General features: G+C 39.8%; 1 protein-coding gene across 1 annotated transcript in view; it reads left to right on the top strand.

Moving 5' to 3' along the window:
* TMEM123 (transmembrane protein 123) overlaps positions 1-20216 on the top strand; it is a 56434-nt gene extending 36218 nt beyond the window's left edge. Inside the window, exons 3-5 of the mRNA NM_052932.3 lie at positions 14342-14632; positions 14856-15009; positions 17657-20216. Of these exons, the coding sequence (NP_443164.2) occupies positions 14342-14632; positions 14856-15009; positions 17657-17681 (470 nt within the window). The 3' untranslated portion in view covers positions 17682-20216. The remainder of the gene's footprint in view (positions 1-14341; positions 14633-14855; positions 15010-17656) is intronic.
* The last annotated feature ends 2115 nt before the right edge of the window (positions 20217-22331 follow it).

Raw genomic sequence — 22331 nt, 5'->3', positions numbered from 1 at the left:
AAGGCTTTTCCTGATTGGTAGATTTTTTTTTATTACTGATTTTATGTCAGAACTCATTATTGATCTGTTCAGGGTTTCAGTTTCTTCTTGGTTCAGTCTTGGGAGGTTGTGTGTTTCTGAGAATTTATCCATTTCTTCTTCCAGGCTTTCCAGTTTGTATACGTAGTGGTGTTCATAATAGTCTCTGAGGGTTTTTTGTATTTCTGTAGGGTTGGTGGTAATGTTTCCTTTATCATTTCTGATTGTGTTTATTTGGCTCTTCTCTCTTTTTTCTTTATTAGTCTAGCTGGAGTCTGTCAATCTTATTTATTCTTTCAAATAACCAACTTTTGGGCTGGGCATGGTGCCTCACACCTTGTAATCCCAACACTTTGGGAGGCCAGGGTGAGTGGATCACCTGAGGTCGGGAGTTTGACACCAGCCTGGCCAACATGGTAAAACTCTGTCTCTACTAAAAATACAAAAATTAGCTGGGTGTGGTGGCACATACCTGTAGTCCCAGGTACTTGGGAGGCCGAGGCAGGAGAATCACTGGAACCCAGAAGGTGGAAGTTGCAGTGAGCTGAGACTGCACCATTGCACTCCAGCCTGGGCAACAGAGCAAGACTCCATCTCAAAAATAATGATGATAATAATAATAATAATAATAACAACCACCAACTTTTGGTTTCATTGATCTTTTGTATGTTTTTTCACATCTCAATTTCATTGAGTTCAGCTCTGATTTTGGTTATTTCTTTTCTTCTGCTAGGACTGGGGTTGGTTTACTTTTGTTTTTCTAGTTCCCCTAGGTGTAAAGTTAGGTTGTTAATTTGAGGTCTTTCTAACATTTTCATGTGGGCATTTAGAGCTGTAAACTTTCCTCTTAACACTGCTTTAGCCATGTCTCACAGATTCTGATATGTTGTGGCTTTGTTTTCATTAGTTTCAAAGAATTTTTTTATTTCTGCCTTAATTTCATTGTTTACCCCAAAGTTAGTAATGAGCAGATTGTTTAATTTCCTTTAAGAGATCTTCCTGGTACTGATTTAAATTTTTATGCTGTGGTCTGAGGGTGTGGTTGGTATGATTTTGAGAATCGTAATTTGTTGAGAATTGCTTTATGGCTGAGCATTTGGTATGTGTCATGTGCAGTTTTAGAGTATGTGCCTTGTGCAGATGAGGAGAATGTATATTCTGTTGTTGGGTGGAGTGCTCTGTAGATATCTGTTAGATCCATTTGGTCAAGTGTTGAGTTCAGGTCCCAAATATCTTTGTTAGTTTTCTGCTTCAGTGATCTGTCTAATACTGTCAGTGGGGTTTTGAAGTCCGCCACTATTGTGTGGTTATCTTAAGAGTCTATAGGTCTCTGAGAACTTGTTTTATGAATCTGGGTTCTCCAGTGTTGAGTGTATATTTATATGGGATAGTTAAGTTGTCTTGTTGAGGTAACCCTGTATCATTATGTAATGCCCTTCTTGGTCCTTTTTGATTGTTATTGGTTTAAAGTTTGTCTGAAATAAGAATAGCAACCTCTGTTGTTTTTTGATTTACATTTGCTTGATTTTTCTTTATCCCTTTATTTTGAGCCCGTGGGTGTCATTGCAGGTGAGACTGGTCTCTTGAAGCTAGCTTACGATTAGGTTTTGCTTCTTTATCCAATTTGCCATTCTGTACCTTTTAAGTGGAGCATCTAGTTGGTTTACATTCAAGGTTAACATTGATATGTGTGGATGTGATCCTGTTACTGTGTTGTTAACTGGTTTCTATGTAAACTTGGTTGTGTAGTTGCTTTGTAGTGTCATTGGTCTGTGTACATAAGTGTGTTCTTGTGGTGGCTTGTAATAGCCCTTTATTTCCATGTTTATCCCTCTCTTAAGGACCTCTTCTAAGGCAAGTCTGGTGGTAATGGATTCCCTTAGTGCTTGCTTGTCTGAAATGAATTTTATTTTTCCTTTGCTCATGAAGTTTAGCTTAGCTAGATACGACATTCTTGGTTGAAATTTCTCTTCTTTAAGGGTGCCGAATATAGGCCCCCAATCTCTTCTGGCTTAGAGGGTTTCTGCAGAAAGGTCTGCTGTTAGCCTGATGGGGTTCCCTCTGTAAGTTACCTGCCCCTTCTCTCTGTCTTTAGTATTTTTCCTTTTGTGTTGGCCTTGGAGAATCTGATGACTATATGTCTTGGGGATGGTTGTCTTGTATGGTATCTTGCAGGAGTTTTCTGAGTTTCCTGAATTTGAAAGTTGACCTCTTTAGTGAGTTTGGGGAAATTTTCATGGACAGTATCCTCAAATATGTTTTCCAGATTGCTTGTTTTCTCTCCCTCTCTTTCAGGGATGCCAGTGAGTTGTAGGTTTTTGTCTCTTTACATAATCCCATATTTCTAGGAAGTTATCTTCATTTCTTTTCATTCTTTTTTGTTTCTTTGTCTGACTGAGTTGATTGAAAGAACTAGTCTTTGAGCTCTGAGTCTCTTTCCTCAGATTGGTCTCTTCTGTTGTTAATACTTGAAATCCTTGTCATGAATTTTTCAACTCTATCAAATCAGTTAGGTTCTTTCTTAAAATTGCTATTTTGTGTTTCAGCCCTTGTGTCATTTTACTGGATTCCTTAGGTTCCATGGATTGGGCTTCAACTTTGTCCTGAATCTTGATCTTTGTTGCCCTCCAGATTCTTAATTCCATGTCTGATGTTTTAACCATTTCAGTCTCATTAAGAACCATTGCTGGAGAGGCAGTATGGTTCTTTGGAGGTAAGAAGACACTGCAGCTTTTTGAGTTGCCAGAGTTCTTGCGCTGGTTCTTTCTCAGCTGTGTGGGCTTTGAAGTTGCTGTCCTTTGAGGCTTTTGCTTTTATATTCTTTGATGCCCTTGATTTGACTGTGGCATAAGTTGGGTTCATTTGACTGGCTTTATTTCAGAATGCTTTCAGGGGGCCAAGGCTTAGCTCAGCACTCCGGGGCTGTGTGCTCTAACCCTGGAGGTCTGGGACCAGGCCTACAGCTTTGTTTTCTGGCCCCTCGAAGTTAAGCACCTGCCGTGCTGGAGGGACTTAGGTGTTCCTGGTCCACTGGCAATAACATTCCAATGTGGGGGTGCCAGCAAAAGCACTTTGCCAGGACGGTGGCAGCAGGGTCCATGTGTATGTGCCAGTGGTGATGGGGTGGTGGGGTCCGTGCACATGTACACCAGTGGTGCATGCACTTTTAATTAAACTTATCTAGCTAGAGGAACCATCTCGAGATGGTTTCCAACAGTTTTGACAGAGCAAGTTTTTCCAAGTTCTTTCTCTTGGTGTGGATTAACACATACCTTAATAGAAACTTCTGAAGTATAAGTCTCACATTTAAGAGGAATACAGCCTTCAAAAGTTCTTAAATTTCTCTGAAATGGAAACATTTGTATGAGTTGCTGGAAGATGGTGTGCATTTTTTAAGCTTACTCTCACATCAAAAGTTCATTTTACCTTTCTTTCCAATATATGCATTTTTGCTATAAATCTCTCTAAGCATAACTTGAGTTGCATCCCACAAGTTTTTAGGTCATAGGTTCCTTATCAAAATATTTTTAAATTAATTTTTTTACTTTATCAATAATTGAGAAATATGTTACTTATTTTCTCATCCTTTGGGAATTAGCGTGTGAAGATTTCTGTAGTTTTTAGGTACATTGAAGGTATGTGAAGAAGTCAGATTTGTTAACATTGTTGAGAACCTGTCATTTCCTTATGAATTTCTTGGGGTCTGTTCTTTTGCTTAGAGATGTTGACAAAAGTCCAACTCTATAAAAAGTATCTACTTTTCTCCATCAGGTCTATCGTATTTTGTTTTATATATTTCTCATCTTGTATATGAAATATATTTTCCTGTTAGATTAATCCATTTATGAGATGTCTTTTCTTTTTAAAAAATTTCTAGTGATACTTTTCACCTTAAAGACTTGCATATGATATTAATAGAGTTGTTATCTTTTTTTTCTGGCCAGTAGTTGTATTGTAAAATTTCTTTTCTTTACTCTTACTTTCAATACTTTTTAGCATTTCTATATCTTATATTTAAGTTGTATTACTTATAAACAGTTAAATCCAGTCTCATAATCTCTGTCTTTTAAATGGCCTGTTGATTCTGTTTGCTTTTGTTTTTGAAATGGAGTTTTGCACTGTTGCCCAGGCTGGAGTGCAATGGTACGATCTCGGCTCACTGCAACCTCCGCCTCCTGGGTTCAAGTGATTCTCCTGCCTCAGCTTCCTGAGTAGCTGGGATTACAGGCATGCGCCACCATGCCCTAATTTTGTATTTTTAGTAGAGACAGGGTTTCACCATGTTGGGTCAGGCTGGTCTTGAACTCTTGACCTCAGATGATTCGCCTCCCTTGGGCCTCCCAAAGTGCTGGGATTACAGGCATGAGCCACCGTGCCTGGCCTCTATTTGCTTTTAATATACCTTTAATATGATGTATAGACTGGTTCTTGAACATGAGTAGAATTTCGCAGAGCTGAGAATGGGTGGGAAGCAGCCCAGGCACCTGAAGTAACATAACAAAGCAACAGAAATAAAAATGAACTGCCTGCTAGGGGATAGGTGGTAGATAGATCTTCCTCCTGGGGCAGAAGGGTAGGCAGCAGAGGGCAACTGGGGCCTTGTCTGTAATGGTGAAGAGTTCAGACATACCTTGGGTGCCCCCCAACTGTATATGCTCCAGACTGTGCTAGGCACTTGCACACGTTTTCCCAGAACTGTGTCTGACACTTTGATAGAATGAAATGAAAATATAAGACATCGTTCTTACAATTAATTCATTTGAAAAGATAAACAAGACCTGGGAAAATACTGTTTCTCTATAATCATACGGCACTTCCGACACCAGATGTGTGTTTTTTTTTTTTCCCACCTCTGCCAGTTCTCAGACATCAGCTGAGTGTCCTACAATCCAATTCAGTTCTGACTCTATCTACTACCTATCTGGATTTAGTGTCAGATCCCACCAGTTAAGGTCTCAGCCCACAAGACTGCCCTCAGTTTAGATGCTAATTGCACGTTCAGCTCTTGTACTCCTAATTAACTATAAATCAGGCTTTCCCATAACCCCCTCCTTGGGTTAGATAATTTGCTAGAATGGCTCCCAGAACTCAAGGAAACACTTTATTTACATTTATTGGTTTATTATAGAGGATATAACTCAGGAGCAGCCAAATGGAAGAGATGGTTAGGGTAAGGTCTGGGTGTGGAGGAATGGTGCGCAGAGCTTCGATACGCTCTCTGGGAACACCGCCGTCTCAGCACCTCCATGTGTTCACCAACTCAGAAGCCCCTCAGATCTCAGTACAGGAGTTTTTATAGAGCTTAATTTCTAGCTTTCCCAAAGGTTGATGGATGGGGCTGAAACTTCCAACCCGCTAATCACCTGGTATTTCTGGTGAGGAGCCCATCCTGAGGCTATCTGTGGGCCCTATGCTATGGCAGTTGATTAGCCAAAAACTCAGGTTTGAGCAAAAGGGGGGGTCCTCATGAATAACCAAAGACGCTCCCATCATTCAGGAAAATCCCAAGGGATTTTAGAAACTCTGTGCCAGGAACCAGGGACAAAGACCAAATATATTTTGTATTGTAACACACAAGATACATTAATTTTTAAAATAATAATAAAAGTTCAGAAAAATGAACAGTAGGTGTTCGATAGAAAGGAAATTGCCTGAGGAGGAGGTGAAAATCAAACTGGCCCCTGGCATACATATTGTAACTGTGTTGTTTCCTTCTTGTCCTTACTAGACCACCCTCCATGCTGATAAGGATCACGTCTCTTCTGTGTGTGCAGAGCCTCCTAGCATAGTTCTCGGTACAGAGAAGGTACTAAACCAGCCTATGGAAAGACATGAGGGAGGAGCAAGCTGTCAGCCTAACAGGGGTGTGATAAGGAGGAATAGCAGAGTGAATTCTGCTCCCTGGAGAGCAAGGATGCCAGGATGAGAGGCTTGGGGAGTTTTGAGCAGGAACAGAGGGAAAATATCAGTCTAGCCTGATGCTCTTGTGGCTGTGATTCATGCTTTTTTTTTTTTTTTGTAACTAACAGGGGTTATTGTGGATTGAGTCTGTGGAAACGGAATGGAATGGGCAAGACCTATGGGAAAAGCGTAAGGAAGCCTGGACACTGTCTACAGTGCCCCGTCAACTTTGCCCATCTGGTAGTCTCATCCCCTAGGAAGCCAGGCTGCTTTTCTCACCCTCTCTGCTCAGCTTCTTTGCAGTTCAATTCCAGTTCTGGGAATGAACAGGATCACCTTTCAGGCTATGTTTCCTTACACAGACCTGAACTATGTCTCGGTTGTTAGTTCTCATCGTCCTTAAGACAGGTCATTATCACTTTAACTGGAAGTGCCTCTTTCATTTATTGCCAGAGGAAACAAACATCCTATTTATGTTCATAGATATTAGTGGAATGAATGATAGTTTAACTAAAATGTGGTAGTAAATTTACTGCAGATATACTGTAACTTATTGGAATCCCTAGTTGTTACTTTTCTGTGATCATATACAATTGTTTTTCCCTTTTTAAATTTTAGTTTTTGAGTTTAAAAATTCAGGAATTTATAAAACATTTTCAGAAAATGTACAGTTCTTTATCATGATGTGACTTTTTTTAAGCTCAGTTTTCTCTTAGATTTTTTTTTTTTTTGAATCTAGATTTATCTAGTTTGTTTGTTTGTTTGTGACGGAGTCTTGCTCTGTCACCCAGGCTGGGGAGCAGTAGCGTGATCTCGGCTCACTGCAACCTCTGCCTCCCAGGTTCAAGCAATTCTCCTGCCTCAGCCTCCCGGATTACAGACGCCCGCCACCATGCCCAGCTAATTTTTATATTTTGAGTAGAGACAAGGTTTCACCATGTTGGCCAGGCTGGTCTCGAATTCCTGACTCGGGTGATCTGCCCGCCTGCCCGCCTGGGCCTCCCAAAGTGCTGGGATTACAGGTATGAGCCACCACACCCGGCCTGTCTAGGTTTTTTAAAAGATCTTTTTTTTTTTAATCTAGATTTTCAATAGTGTGGATTTTTGATCTCCAGGTAATTTGAATTCAGAAGAATGTTTAGAATGAATCTGTTGACTCCGTGCAATGAGGAAAGGCCTCTTTGCTTTCTAAGCAATGAATGTTTCTGGAATTACACTGATATTTAGTTGATGGGGTAAGGTTGTAAATTCTATAGGAAAGAGATTCTCAAGGTTTTCATGTTTTAAAAAATTCCCAGAACCCCATATAAGAGTTCTTAAATTTACTCAAGCTGCAGACCATTCTTAGAATCACAGACCCCTCAAAATAACTATGGCACCAGAAATTTATGGTTTATGTCTTGAATAGCTTAGTACTTTTGACAACTATACTAGGAAATGAAAAGCTGCTACTGTCCCATTTAAAAATAACTGAGATTTTTAAAAATTGGATGTGTATTTTCAACTCTGGTTTAAGTGTGTATTTGATGCCCTGATGAAAACAAATTGTCATCCTTAACTTTGAGATATTTAGGTTAAAGGAGAATAATATTATTAAATATTTAATAAATATTTTTGGACTCAAGGTTATAGGAATAAGGTTAAGTTATTTCAACACAGCAGAGATAGTCGGAATGAATCCAGACTTTGAGGAGTACTTTTACTTGAAACTAGAAAAATGGACTGCTTCACAGTGTCCTTGGCCTTGTTGCAATATGGTGGCTGTCTGGTATTAACAGAAAAAGGTCTGGGCCTCACTTTCTTCTTTTTGGGTGTTTGCATTGATAAATCAAAAATATCCCAGTAGTGTGTTCTTCCATAAGATGTTACTCGGATGGTAGTTACGGTAACCATGGGAGCTCGGATATCTCACAGTGCCTACTCCTCAGCCTCCCATAGGGAATTGTACAGTGCAGCTCTGTAGGGGAGTTACATTTAATGAAATTAATGGTTATAAAGAATTAATTGAGCACTTCTCAGGGACTGTGGGAAGTACTTAACACAGATTATATCAGTGAATTCTCCCAGACTCTTGTGATAGCCCTGATTTATAGACCAGAAAGGGTAGTGAATCTCAGAGAGATTAAGTAACTTGCCTAAGGTACCCAAGCAAGTAAATTGCTGAGCTGATCCAGAGCTTGAGCTTATACTCACCATGCCTAGGTAACATTACCAGGCTTGGTAAAAAGAAGAGCCAGCAAATGGAAGCTCTAATTCTAATCACAGAAAAATTAGGAGTAATAATTTTACCACCAAACAGGAATGAAGAACTGATTGGGCTGTTGGAATATATTTTTTACAGCAGTGCCAGACATCACTCATAGCCACGTGTGCATTCTTTGTCGTCTTTCACTGTGGGCTGAACACTGCAGCTGCTGGGAAGGAAGGTGCATGGATGGTGTTATTACAGCCCTTTGCTTCATTTTTCCTGTAATTATGTTAGTTGAAACCAGGAGTTAAATAGAGAAGTTCTTATATCTCTGATTGACATCTATAGATAATCTCAACTTTCATTAAAACAAGTTTTGTGAGTGGTTTGACAAGTATTTATGGACTTACTTCATATCATGGTGACTAGTTTCAAAGATCTGCAAAAGGAACCAGCTCAATAGAATCACTAGTGCCAGTTGTACCGTTGCACAGAGACATATTTTTTATAAATGAAAAAACCTTTGAAGCTGAGTGTATTAATTTGCTTGGGCTGCAGAAACAAAGTACCAGAAACTGGGTGGCTTAAACAACAGAAATTGATTGTCTCACAGTTCGGGAGGCTGGAGTCAGAGGTGAAGGTGTTTACAGGGTTGCTTCCTTCTGGGGGCTTTGAGAGAATCTGTTCCATGCCTCTCCTCTGGCTTCTGGCGGTTTGTGGCAATCCATGGCATTCCCTGGCTTGTAGAGACATCACCATGATCTCTGTCTTCATCTTCACAGGGTGTTCTTTGTGTGTGTTTGTGTGTCTGTCTCCAACTTTTCACTTTTAATAAGGTCACCAACCATAATGGATAAATAAGCCTAACCTAATGACTTAATGACCTTTGTAAAGATTCTCTCTCCAAATAAGGTCACATTCTGAAGTACTGTGAGTTAGGACTTCAAAGTATGAATTTGGGCAGGGTGGAGAGGGGAACAATTCAACCCTTAACACTGAGCATGGACAACTGTATGTCACACACAGCCTTCCCCTGGTGGCTCTACCCTCCCAACTGCACTAGCTGAGGTGTTATAGATAGAATGTCCAATTCACTGAATAAGTTCTATTTAGTAGGGTGCAGCTCCTGTCCAGAATAATACCAAAATAATAAAACTCTACAGTGATTCAAAATTGAAACTTGTCCCTTCTGCCAGCCCAGGCCTACTTCGGGCTTAGAAGCCTTGCAGTGGCAAAGCTAATGTTGTTGACTTCCTTGTTCCACCTCTTCTCCTCACTTCTGCTGTTTGCCACCCTTATGGAATCAGGCCTAGAGAGGCTTAAGGGACAAAAGCTGTTTGGTTGATGGCTGGGATGTTTTCATTTGGCACAGGTGCCCTCTGGATGGCAGATGTGTGGTTCTCATTGGTAGGTTCCTGGGAGATCCTCCTGCTAAGCCTCCCCCTTCAGCTCTTGGTGCAGTGGGCCTCTCCTCCAGCTGGCCCTTGCTTTTGGTGCTCCACCCCCTACTGGTGACCTCCCCCTCTCTAAGCTGTACTCTCTTGGGAAGCTATCTTTTTTTTTTTTTTTTTTGACGGAGCCTCGCTCTGTTGCCCAGGCTGGAGTGCAGTGGCGCAATCTCAGCTCACTGCAAGCTCTGCCTCCCAGGTTCACGCCATTCTCCTGCCTCAGCCTCCCGAGTAGCTGGGACTACAGGCGCCCGCCACCATGCCCGGCTAATTTTTTATATTTTTGGTAGAGACGGGGTTTCACTGTGTTAGCCAGTGATCGATCTCCTGACCTCGTGATCTACCCACCTCAGCCTCCCAAAGTGCCGGGATTACAGGTGTGAGCCACTGCACTCGGCCCCAGGAAGCTATCTTTTTTAAGGCAATCTCATGTCAGTTATCTTCCATGGAGTTTGATTTGGTCCATGGGAAACAAGAACCTTTGCTGTTAGTGGAGGTGTGGTCTACTCCCAGTGCAGCCTTTTAAACTTAGCTGATGGGTAGATAGAGCTCAGTCACAGTGTCTCATGTTTGTTAAGGCTTGAATCAAATCCTACTGTCTGTGTCCATCCAAGTCCAGTAGATGCTTGTCCAGCTCTTCAGGTAGTGCCCTAGAAGCCTTCCCAGGCTGGTGTAAGGTGGAGGATGGCATTCTCCTCTTTACCCCCATAGACAGAGGAGGGAGTGGACACCCTGCACACTGACACCCTCCAGCAACATATGCGCCTCAGATTCTTCAACCTTAGCTTATCGGAGGCTGGAGGAGACTGAGTGGCTAAGATGGGCAGACTTAGATAAAGCTTCACCCCTTGCAAGTCCCACAGGGATGGTCCATTCTGCATCTCTTTGCAGGTGTTAACTGTGCCACTCCTAGAGGTGCCAGTCAGCATTTCAACAGTTAAGGGAGAGGGAAGAAGACCAGAGTTGGGATGGTATCATTTGCAGAGGAAAACAAGTGACTATTTACTTATTACAGAAGAAGATTGGGTCATCCAATGTGAATTTGGAGAGCATCCTTGCATTTCATTTATGCTTAAAAGCATCAGGAAACACAGTTTAATGCAAAATTTCCTTTTGCCTGTTTTGTCAATTCATAGAAATCGACAAAGAAATTGACATAGAAATTGACAAAATTTTTTGTTTCTTTAGCACATTTGGATTGACTTAGCGGAGAACTAACCTATTATAGCTTCCTATTTTGGCCCATGTGACTTTGTACAGTATCTTTGAAGAATGTTTTATTATACCAGAGGGCAGGGGGAGGGGTGTGTGTGTGTGTTGAATCCGAAAGCAGCATTGTGTTCATTGTTTTATTCTGCGGGATCATTCTATTCTAAAGATAGGATATAAACGTTGGTTCTTTGCTGTATTTAATTTCATTGCAATAGAATCCATTCAGCATTTTTAAATAAAAGGTGATTATTTTAATGTTAAATTCTATTACTTATATCTCTATAGAACATTCAGACTTGAATAAGAAAAGATTAGTTCAAGTTCATTTGAACTTAGTGCATTTGTATTACCTACTTGGATATTTATTATTTATTTGCCTATGTAGTATAAAAGCGTTAATTCCTTTGGCCTTATTAAGAAAATAGATCAGGCCGGGCACGGTGGCTCACACCTGTAATCCCAGCACTTTGGGAGGCTGAGGCGGGCAGATCACAAGGTCAGGAGATCAGATCGAGACCATCCTGGCTAACAAGGTGAAACCCCGTCTCTAATAAAAATACAAAAATTAGCCAGGCGTGGTGGTGGGCGCCTGTAGTCCCAGCTACTCAGGAGGCTGAGGCAGGAGAATGGCGTGAACCTGGGAGGCGGAGCTTGCAATGAGCTGAGATCACGCCACTGCACTCCAGCCTGGGCAACAGAGCAAGACTCTGTCTCAAAAAAAAAAAGAAAAAAGAAAATAGGTCATACTCAGTAGAAGAGATCACAGAGACCCAAAGTTGAAGAAAGTAGTAGAAATTCCAGTAGTAAAACCCGATATGCAAGTAAGCAGCACTATTAAAACCAACTTGTTTTGACAGTTAAGTCAAAAATAAATATAGCTGGGGCCGAGCATGGTGGCTTAGCCTGTAATCCCAGCACTTTGGGAGGCCAAGGCAGGCAGATCACCTGAGGTCAGGAGTTCAAGACCAGCCAGGCCAACATGGCAAAACCCCGTCTCTACTAAAAGTACAAAAATTAGGTGGGCTTGGTGGTGCATGCCTGTAATCCCAGCTACTAAGGAGGCTGAGGCAGGAGAATTGCTTGAACCTGGGAGGCAGAGGTTACAGTGAGCCGAGATCGCAGGCACCGGCCCTCCAGCCTGGGGGACAGAGCAAGACTGTTTCAAAAATAGTAATAACAATAATAAATACATATAGGGGCCAGGTGCAGGGGCTCACACCTGTAGTACTAGCACTTTGAGAGGCTGAGGTGGGCGGATCACCTGATGTCAGGAGTTTGAAACGAGCCTGGCCAACATGGTGAAGCGCTGTCTCTACTAAAAATACAAAAATTAGCCAGGCGTCGTGGCATGTGCCTGTAATCCCAGCTACTGAGTAGGCTGAGGCACGAGAATCGCTTGAACCCAGAAGGCGGAGGTTGCCCTGAGCCGAGATCATGCCACTGCACTCCAGCCTGGGTGACAGAGTAAGACTTTGTCTCTAAGTTAAATAAATAAATAAATATCAATCTGTCTGTCTTTCAAGAATAAGGCCAAAATAGTTGTGGAAGATAGGATAATATATGAAGTATCACTTTTGGTACTTGACAACAGTGGCGGGGCAAGGAACCTAAGGCATTGGTACTGCTCTCACTGGGGGAAAGGAGAAAGCAGGTCCAGTGGTTAATTCTGTGTACCTTAAGTATGTGGACATATATAATAAAATGGGAGTATAAAGGTGTCTTAGTACATTTTGTGTTGCTATAAAGGAATACCTGAGACTAGGTAATTGATAAAGAAAATGTTTATTTAGCTCAAGGTTCTGCAGGCTGGGAAAGTTCTGCAAGCCCTGGTTTCTGGGGAGGGCTTTTATAAAGCTGTGCCACAACATGGCCGAGAAGGTCAAAGGGGAAGTGGGTAACTGCAAAGATAGAAAACCCGAGGAGCATCCTGGCTTTATAACAACCCCCTTTCATGGGAACTCATTTCCACAGGAACTGATCCAGTTTTGCCAGAATGAGAACTCACTCACTACCACGTGAAGGGCATCAAGCCATTTATGAGGGATCTGCCCCCATGATCCAGACAACTCCCACTAGGCCCCACCTCCCAAGACCGCCACATTGGAGATCAAATTTCAATATGAGTTTTGATAGGGACAAACAAACCAAATCCAAACCATAGCAGTAGGCAACATAGGAAACCAAAAAACCTGAAAATAAACTATGAGACAGGAAATGAATACAGAAATATATTACATCATATTAAATGGACAAAGACATATTAAAAGCTTTCATTCCCTAGACATTGTATCCTAATAGGTACCTATAGTTGTAAACGTTAGTTAAATTGTCGTGTTAAAAAGAAGATGCAGTATGAAATAAAATTAACACAGAAAGGTTTGCTTCTGGTTATAGGCCATATTTTATGCAAAAAGAAGGAAACCTTTGCTGGATGAAAACAAAAGTAATCGAAGTTTATTTTAAGGAGTATTGGCCGGGCACGGTGGCTCATGCCTGTGATCCCAGCACTTGGGGAAGCTGAGGCGAGCAGATCACTTGAAGTCAGGAGTTCAAGACCAGCCTGGCCAACATGGTAAAACCTTGTCTCTACTAAAAATACAAAAATTAGCCAGCATGGTAGCAGGCACCTGTAATCCCAGCTACTCAGGAGGTCAAGGCAGGAGAATCACTTGGACCCAGGAGGCGGAGGTTGCATTGAGCCGAGATCTTGACACTGCACTTCAGCCTGGGTGACAGAGTGAAACTCCATCTCAAAAAACAAAAAAGAAGTTAAGGAGCATTAACAAGATCTGTACCTATATGTTTCTGTTTACATTATACCCCCCAAAAAAGAAAAACTCAGTTGCAGGTATGAGCAAAGGTATTGTTTGAGTTGTGTATTTTAAATCACTAATTTTTCTTTTCATACAAAATTGGCTTTTGGACTTGTAAAACTTTCACAGATAGTTTTAGAACTGTCCTTCCAACTATGGGAAATTATTATTACCAGTATGACAGCTAGCCACATTCTGTGATGGTATCTCACTTCCTAATGCATAGTGGGAAGTTGGCTTTACTTTTACAAAAAATAACTCACTTGGACTTCCCATTCTACCAGGAGGGTTAGAAACATGCAGCTACTGATTTATTGTCCTCAAAGCCCCTTGGAAGGTATAGCAGAGAACTGGAAATTTAAAAACCATTTTTATATTCATTAGTTTATCCATCCATTCAACAGATATTTGTTGAAAGCCTATTATGTGATATGAAATACGTTGAGATGTTCAGACAGAGATGATTAAGACATGTCCCTGCACTGAGGGAACTCTGTCTTCTGGGTTGTTTTTTTTTTTCTTCATATCTTCCCCAAAATTTCTAACTTTATATAAATTTAGACTTGGTTTCTGTTGAGTCTTTTACTAGTTTGAGACATTTTATTGCAGTATAGTGCAAAGTATTAATGGGCTAAGTATGTTAAATGCTGCTGTATTTGTAAGATCTCTTGCTTTGTCTGTGACCATGAAAGTCTCAGTGAAATGGGATCTTATTCCCTAAATCATAGCTCTGGTTTTAATGTTTCTTGATATTATTGCAGAGACTCTCCAACATGTGCCTTCTGACCATACAAATGAAACTTCCAACAGTACTGTGAAACCACCAACTTCAGTTGCCTCAGACTCCAGTAATACAACGGTCACCACCATGAAACCTACAGCGGCATCTAATACAACAACACCAGGGATGGTCTCAACAAATATGACTTCTACCACCTTAAAGTCTACACCCAAAACAACAAGTGTTTCACAGAACACATCTCAGATATCAACATCCACAATGACCGTAACCCACAATAGTTCAGTGACATCTGCTGCTTCATCAGTAACAAGTATGTATTAAAGCTGACCTTTTTTTTCCTATGCTGCAAGTAGTTAAATGCCACATTTAAGTCATTATTCTGTCTGGCAAAAATAATATAGAAACTTTATATGCCTAGATTTCCCTTAATTCCTAATTAAATGTTCTTAACACAGAAAATCAGAGAGCTTTAATTACAATGTTAAAAAAAAAAAAATAACGCTAAAGCCCTTTTTTGTTTTCTTTTGTTCTAGTCACAACAACTATGCATTCTGAAGCAAAGAAAGGATCAAAATTTGATACTGGGAGCTTTGTTGGTGGTATTGTATTAACGCTGGGAGTTTTATCTATTCTTTACATTGGATGCAAAATGTATTACTCAAGAAGAGGCATTCGGTATCGAACCATGTAAGTTTTGAATGGCCAGGACTTTTTAAAAAAAATTGTTGGTGCACATCTTTAATTATGATAGAATATCAAGCCAGTGCTCATCTCAGGGATGAATAATTGATAGATTTATGAGTTATATTCCCATTAACCCTTTTGGCCCAAAGTAAATTGTTTATGTACAAGCTTGTGATTATAATTATTTGCAAATGAAAATGGATGTATATACTTAAAAAAATGTATTTTACTAGTGTCAAACACACTTTACAGGAGACCAAAGTTAACCTACCCTGAAATTTTCACTTACTCATACCAATAATCGTAAGAAATACCAGTTCCCAGCAGGCTTTTGACTTAGTATGTCTGTGTCTGTTGTGGTACTAAATAGCATCCTTGGTAAAACCATGGCTTTTGTTTTCCACGACAAAGACAAAAAAAATTCCTCTGACAGCCTCATTATCCCTGAAAATTTAAATGAGTGGTTAGTATAAATAATATAATTTATCATTTTACCTGTAGCAAAACTCTCTTTTTAGATGTGCATTATCAACAAGACCTAATCCATGTTTACTCTACATGTAGCTCTATAGGTCTGATGGTTTGAGGATATATCCAAACTTTTGTTGCTCCAATAGTCCTTTTTGTTTTTGTTTTTTTGAGTCTTACGTGTTGTCTTAGTTCATGCTGACACAACAAAGTATCATACAGCTGGGTGCCTTAAACAGCAGACATTTAGTTCTCACACTTCCGGAGGCTTGGAAGTCCAAGATCAGGGTGCCACCATGGTTGAGTTCTAGTAAGGGCCTTCTTCACATGGCAGAAAGAAGGCGAGCTAGTTCTCTGACCTCTAATTGTAAGGGTATTAATTCTGTTCACGAGGGTTCCACCCTCACGACCTAACTACCTTCCCAAGGCCCCACTTCAAAATATCATCACACTGGGATTAGGGTTTCAACATACTCATATTGGGTGACACAAATGTAAGAGCTAATTCACTTTTTTTAGTGTTAATGTATATAAATACCATAGAACAGATGACTGTTTTCCAAAATTTGCCCTGTGGGTTAACATTTGACATACATGTGTCCCACACACACAGTTCCTATATCAAAAAGTGTGGGAAATGTTCAGTTGACTAAAGTAAACTAAGACAGTTTACTATAAGACTTCTCTAAGCCTTTAAAATATTGATATACATTATGATTTTCCAGGATGGAATACAGTATGAACTGTTTCCCAAATTTTTAACCAAAATACTTGTTGAATGAATAAATCCCTCCCCCTGCCCCTCTTCAATGGGAGCTAACACTGTCTATCTCTTGGAACTAGTATTGTGTGGAACACATTTTGGGAAATGTTGGAATAGGCCATTGGAATCTTCCAGTTTTGACACTACATATGATTCAGTACACATAAAAGTAAATCAAACTTCTTGATAGATTTTAAGAACATGGAAGTTTCCCAGATTTTCAGGTTACTGACATAAGCTCTAAATAAACATCGCATCATAAATGAAAATTGGATCTAACAGTTATATTACTAATACTTAAACAAAAATGATAATTTAAGAACAGATTTTTTTTTTTTTTGAGATGGAGTTTCCCTCTTGTTGCCCAGGCTGGAGTGCAATGGCACGATCTCGGCTCACTGCAACCTCTGCCTCCTGGGTTCAAGCTATTCTCCTGCCTCAGCCTCCCCAGTAGCTGGGATTATAGGTGCCTACCACCACGCCCAGCTAATTTTTGTATTTTTGGTAGAGATGGGGTTTCACCATGTTGGCCAGGCTGGTCTCAAACTCCTGACCTTAGGTGATCCTCCCACCTTGGCCTCCCAAAGTGCTGGGATTACAGGCGTGAGCCACCATATCTGGCCTTAAAAACATATTTTTAAAAGTTATATTTAAAGTTACGTTGCATATATTTATCATATCAAACTCACTTTAGCTTCCATGATCACATGAGATCAGACACATTCACAGTGGCATGGCTGTAGGCTCAAACTGATTTTAAAAGAATATTAAGGTGGTGGTTTGTCAGATTAAAGGCATATTCAGAAACATTCTTTTTTAAGGTCAATACATGAAAGAATACATAAAAGAAACCATGACTAAACAGAGTGCTTTGCAGTGGCTCTGTCACCCAGGTTGGAGTGCAGTGGTGCGATCACGGGTCACTGCAACCTCAGCCTCCTGAGCTTAAGTGATCCTCTTACCTCAGCCTGCTGAGTAGCTGGGACTACAAGCATGCAATGCCACACCAGGCTAATTTTTAAATGTTTTATAGAGATGGTAGTCTCACTGTTTTGCCCAGGCTGGTCTCAAACTCCTGGGCTCAAGTGATCCTCCTTTCTGACCTCCTAGAGTTCTGGGATTATAAGCATGAGCCACTGTGACCAGCTAGAAAGAAATATTTAATAGGGACTTACAAATAGAAGCTATGTCTGTGTCTATGATTGCAGCAAGACAAGATGGTGGATCCCCATGCCATTAACCCCCAGATCTTTAACCACTACAGTATATTGGATACTTAAGGAACTTTACACAGAACACTGACCATTTTGATTGTGCAGCTTGAAATTGTTCTAATCCTACTTTACTAACAAATAGGAACATAAGTAGTTTTGACAGAAAAAACAAAACAAAGTAATTGTAACTTTTAATATATTACAGAGATGAACATGATGCCATCATTTAAGGAAATCCATGGACCAAGGATGGAATACAGATTGATGCTGCCCTATCAATTAATTTTGGTTTATTAATAGTTTAAAACAATATTCTCTTTTTGAAAATAGTATAAACAGGCCATGCATATAATGTACAGTGTATTACGTAAATATGTAAAGATTCTTCAAGGTAACAAGGGTTTGGGTTTTGAAATAAACATCTGGATCCTTATAGACCGTTCATACAATGGTTTTAGCAAGTTCATAGTAAGACAAACAAGTCCTATCTTTTTTTTTTTGGCTGGGGTGGGGGCATTGGTCACATATGACCAGTAATTGAAAGACGTCATCACTGAAAGACAGAATGCCATCTGGGCATACAAATAAGAAGTTTGTCACAGCACTCAGGATTTTGGGTATCTTTTGTAGCTCACATAAAGAACTTCAGTGCTTTTCAGAGCTGGATATATCTTAATTACTAATGCCACACAGAAATTATACAATCAAACTAGATCTGAAGCATAATTTAAGAAAAACATCAACATTTTTTGTGCTTTAAACTGTAGTAGTTGGTCTAGAAACAAAATACTCCAAGAAAAAGAAAATTTTCAAATAAAACCCAAAATAATAGCTTTGCTTAGCCCTGTTAGGGATCCATTGGAGCATTAAGGAGCACATATTTTTATTAACTTCTTTTGAGCTTTCAATGTTGATGTAATTTTTGTTCTCTGTGTAATTTAGGTAAACTGCAGTGTTTAACATAATAATGTTTTAAAGACTTAGTTGTCAGTATTAAATAATCCTGGCATTATAGGGAAAAAACCTCCTAGAAGTTAGATTATTTGCTACTGTGAGAATATTGTCACCACTGGAAGTTACTTTAGTTCATTTAATTTTAATTTTATATTTTGTGAATATTTTAAGAACTGTAGAGCTGCTTTCAATATCTAGAAATTTTTAATTGAGTGTAAACACACCTAACTTTAAGAAAAAGAACCGCTTGTATGATTTTCAAAAGAACATTTAGAATTCTATAGAGTCAAAACTATAGCGTAATGCTGTGTTTATTAAGCCAGGGATTGTGGGACTTCCCCCAGGCAACTAAACCTGCAGGATGAAAATGCTATATTTTCTTTCATGCACTGTCGATATTACTCAGATTTGGGGAAATGACATTTTTATACTAAAACAAACACCAAAATATTTTAGAATAAATTCTTAGAAAGTTTTGAGAGGAATTTTTAGAGAGGACATTTCCTCCTTCCTGATTTGGATATTCCCTCAAATCCCTCCTCTTACTCCATGCTGAAGGAGAAGTACTCTCAGATGCATTATGTTAATGGAGAGAAAAAGCACAGTATTGTAGAGACACCAATATTAGCTAATGTATTTTGGAGTGTTTTCCATTTTACAGTTTATATTCCAGCACTCAAAACTCAGGGTCAAGTTTTAACAAAAGAGGTATGTAGTCACAGTAAATACTAAGATGGCATTTCTATCTCAGAGGGCCAAAGTGAATCACACCAGTTTCTGAAGGTCCTAAAAATAGCTCAGATGTCCTAATGAACATGCACCTACATTTAATAGGAGTACAATAAAACTGTTGTCAGCTTTTGTTTTACAGAGAACGCTAGATATTAAGAATTTTGAAATGGATCATTTCTACTTGCTGTGCATTTTAACCAATAATCTGATGAATATAGAAAAAAATGATCCAAAATATGGATATGATTGGATGTATGTAACACATACATGGAGTATGGAGGAAATTTTCTGAAAAATACATTTAGATTAGTTTAGTTTGAAGGAGAGGTGGGCTGATGGCTGAGTTGTATGTTACTAACTTGGCCCTGACTGGTTGTGCAACCATTGCTTCATTTCTTTGCAAAATGTAGTTAAGATATACTTTATTCTAATGAAGGCCTTTTAAATTTGTCCACTGCATTCTTGGTATTTCACTACTTCAAGTCAGTCAGAACTTCGTAGACCGACCTGAAGTTTCTTTTTGAATACTTGTTTCTTTAGCACTTTGAAGATAGAAAAACCACTTTTTAAGTACTAAGTCATCATTTGCCTTGAAAGTTTCCTCTGCATTGGGTTTGAAGTAGTTTAGTTATGTCTTTTTCTCTGTATGTAAGTAGTATAATTTGTTACTTTCAAATACCCGTACTTTGAATGTAGGTTTTTTTGTTGTTGTTATCTATAAAAATTGAGGGAAATGGTTATGCAAAAAAATATTTTGCTTTGGACCATATTTCTTAAGCATAAAAAAAATGCTCAGTTTTGCTTGCATTCCTTGAGAATGTATTTATCTGAAGATCAAAACAAACAATCCAGATGTATAAGTACTAGGCAGAAGCCAATTTTAAAATTTCCTTGAATAATCCATGAAAGGAATAATTCAAATACAGATAAACAGAGTTGGCAGTATATTATAGTGATAATTTTGTATTTTCACAAAAAAAAAGTTAAACTCTTCTTTTCTTTTTATTATAATGACCAGCTTTTGGTATTTCATTGTTACCAAGTTCTATTTTTAGAATAAAATTGTTCTCCTTCTAAAAGTTTTAAGTGTGTGATTTTGCTTCATTTCATTAAACTCAAGATAAATAGAAAACACTCAAAAGGGCAGATTGCAAGTGGGGTTGTCTGGGTAAGGAGCAGCAGCACCACCTGGGAACGTGTTAGAAAATGCAAATTCTTTGGCCCCAACCATGTTGAGTTGGAAATTCTGGGGTAGAGCTCAGCGATCTGATTGTGTTTTTAGAGACAGGGTCTTGCTCTGTCACCGAGGCTGGAGTGCAGTGGCACAATCATAGCTCACTATAACTAACTTTGAACCCCTTGGCTCAGTTCAAGCTATCCTCCAGCCTCAGCCTCCTAAGTAGCTAGGACTACAGGCATGCACCACCACACCCAGCTATTTTTAAAACATTTTTGTAGAGACGGGGTCTTGCCATGTTGCCCAGGCTAGTCTCAAACTTACAGCGTCAAGCAATCCTCCTGCCTTGGCCTCCCAGAGTGCTGGGATTACAGGACTCACCCACTGCACCTGGCCAGCAATCTATTTTAATGACTCTACCATGTGATTCTGATGTGCACCAAAATTTGAGAACCACTACTCAAAGGATTTTTATTTGCAGCTGCTGCTTTATTCGGCTGGACAGAATTTTAAAATTTGGTATACTAATGGTAGAAAATCTACCATTCTCTAGATAAATCAGTTACACATCCATTAGTGTATAGTATGGTATTTTCAACAGGCTTTTTCTTCTTTAAAAGTAGATATAATTTAGGCTGGGTGCAGTGGCTCACACCTGTAATCTCAGCACTTTGGGAGGCTGAGGCAGGCGGATCACCTGAGGTCAGGAGTTCGAGACCAGCCTGGCCAACATGCGAAACCCCATCTCTACCAAAAATACAAAAATTAGCCAGCTGTGGTGGCGTGTGCTTGTAATCCCAGCTACTGGGGAGGCTAAGGAAGGAGAATCGCTTGAACCCGGGAGGTGGAGGTTGTAGTGAGCCGAGATCACACCACTGCCCTCCAGCCTGGGTGACAGCAAGACTACGCCTCAAAAAAAAAAAAAAAAAAAACAACTAGATATAATTTATATCTGAGAATGGATTTAAATATTTGTTATAAGACAACCAAGGTAAAATGATGCTGTCTTAAGAAAAAAAAATTTTTTTCTTTGAGTTTTGCTCTTGTCACCCAGGCTGGAGTGCAATGGCATGACCTTGGCTCACTGCAACCTCCACCTTCCAGGTTCAAGCGATTCTCCTGCTCCAGCCTCCCTAGTAGCTGGGATTACAGGTGTCTGCCACCACGCCCAGCTAATTATTGTACTTTTAGTAGAAATGGGGTTTCACCATGTTGGCCAAGCTGGTCTCGCACTCCTGACCTCAGGTGATCCATCCACCTCAGCCTCCCAAAGTGCTGGGGTTACAGGTGTGAGCCACTGCACCCAGCCAAAAAAAAATTTTAAGTACCCTCCTATAGTCAAGCTCTGATGTCAGATTGCTTGGGGTTAAGTGCTTCCTCTACTACATACTAGCTGTATGACCTTGAGTAAGTTACTCCTCTTATCCTCCATGTCATCTGTAAAATGGGGATGGTAACAGTACTTACTGCACAGGGTTATTGCATGAGGATTATATAAGATACTTCATGTAAATTATTTAGGATACTGTCTTGCACAAGTGCTTTTAAAAAGTCTTATTAATCCCGACAAAGCCAATTTTCTGATACCCAAGGGGGAAAAAAAAAGTACCCTCTTTGGATATTTCTGCCTCCCTCCTCACTTTGCTATGGCTTCACAATGGCCACAGTTTACCCCCCCAACAACTTTAGGTGTGGGTATGTGTCTTGCTTTTAGTCCATAGGTATGAGAGTGGATGTAATAAACATGATGTCTGTTCTGGGGGTAAAAAGGCCCTCCTAACTTTCAGCTAATCACTTTTTTAAAATTACATTATACCCACCAAAAAATGCACAAATCAGAAGTATATGGAAATTTTGGCAAGTGATGTCACCAAAATGGTGGAGGAGATAACAGCCTTCATGCCCCGTCAAAAGAAACAAATACACACTGCTATCCACAAACCAAAATAGCCCTGGAGGGCTCAAGGGCAATTGTCTTAATATATGTATATATGTTTGTATGAATTAATGAATGGCA

The sequence above is a fragment of the Homo sapiens genome, chromosome 11 (assembly GCF_000001405.40).
Source record: "Homo sapiens chromosome 11, GRCh38.p14 Primary Assembly".
NCBI classification, from domain to species: domain Eukaryota; kingdom Metazoa; phylum Chordata; class Mammalia; order Primates; family Hominidae; genus Homo; species Homo sapiens.
Note: the sequence above shows the minus strand (reverse complement) of the source record. Positions and strands in the feature narration are given on the sequence as shown.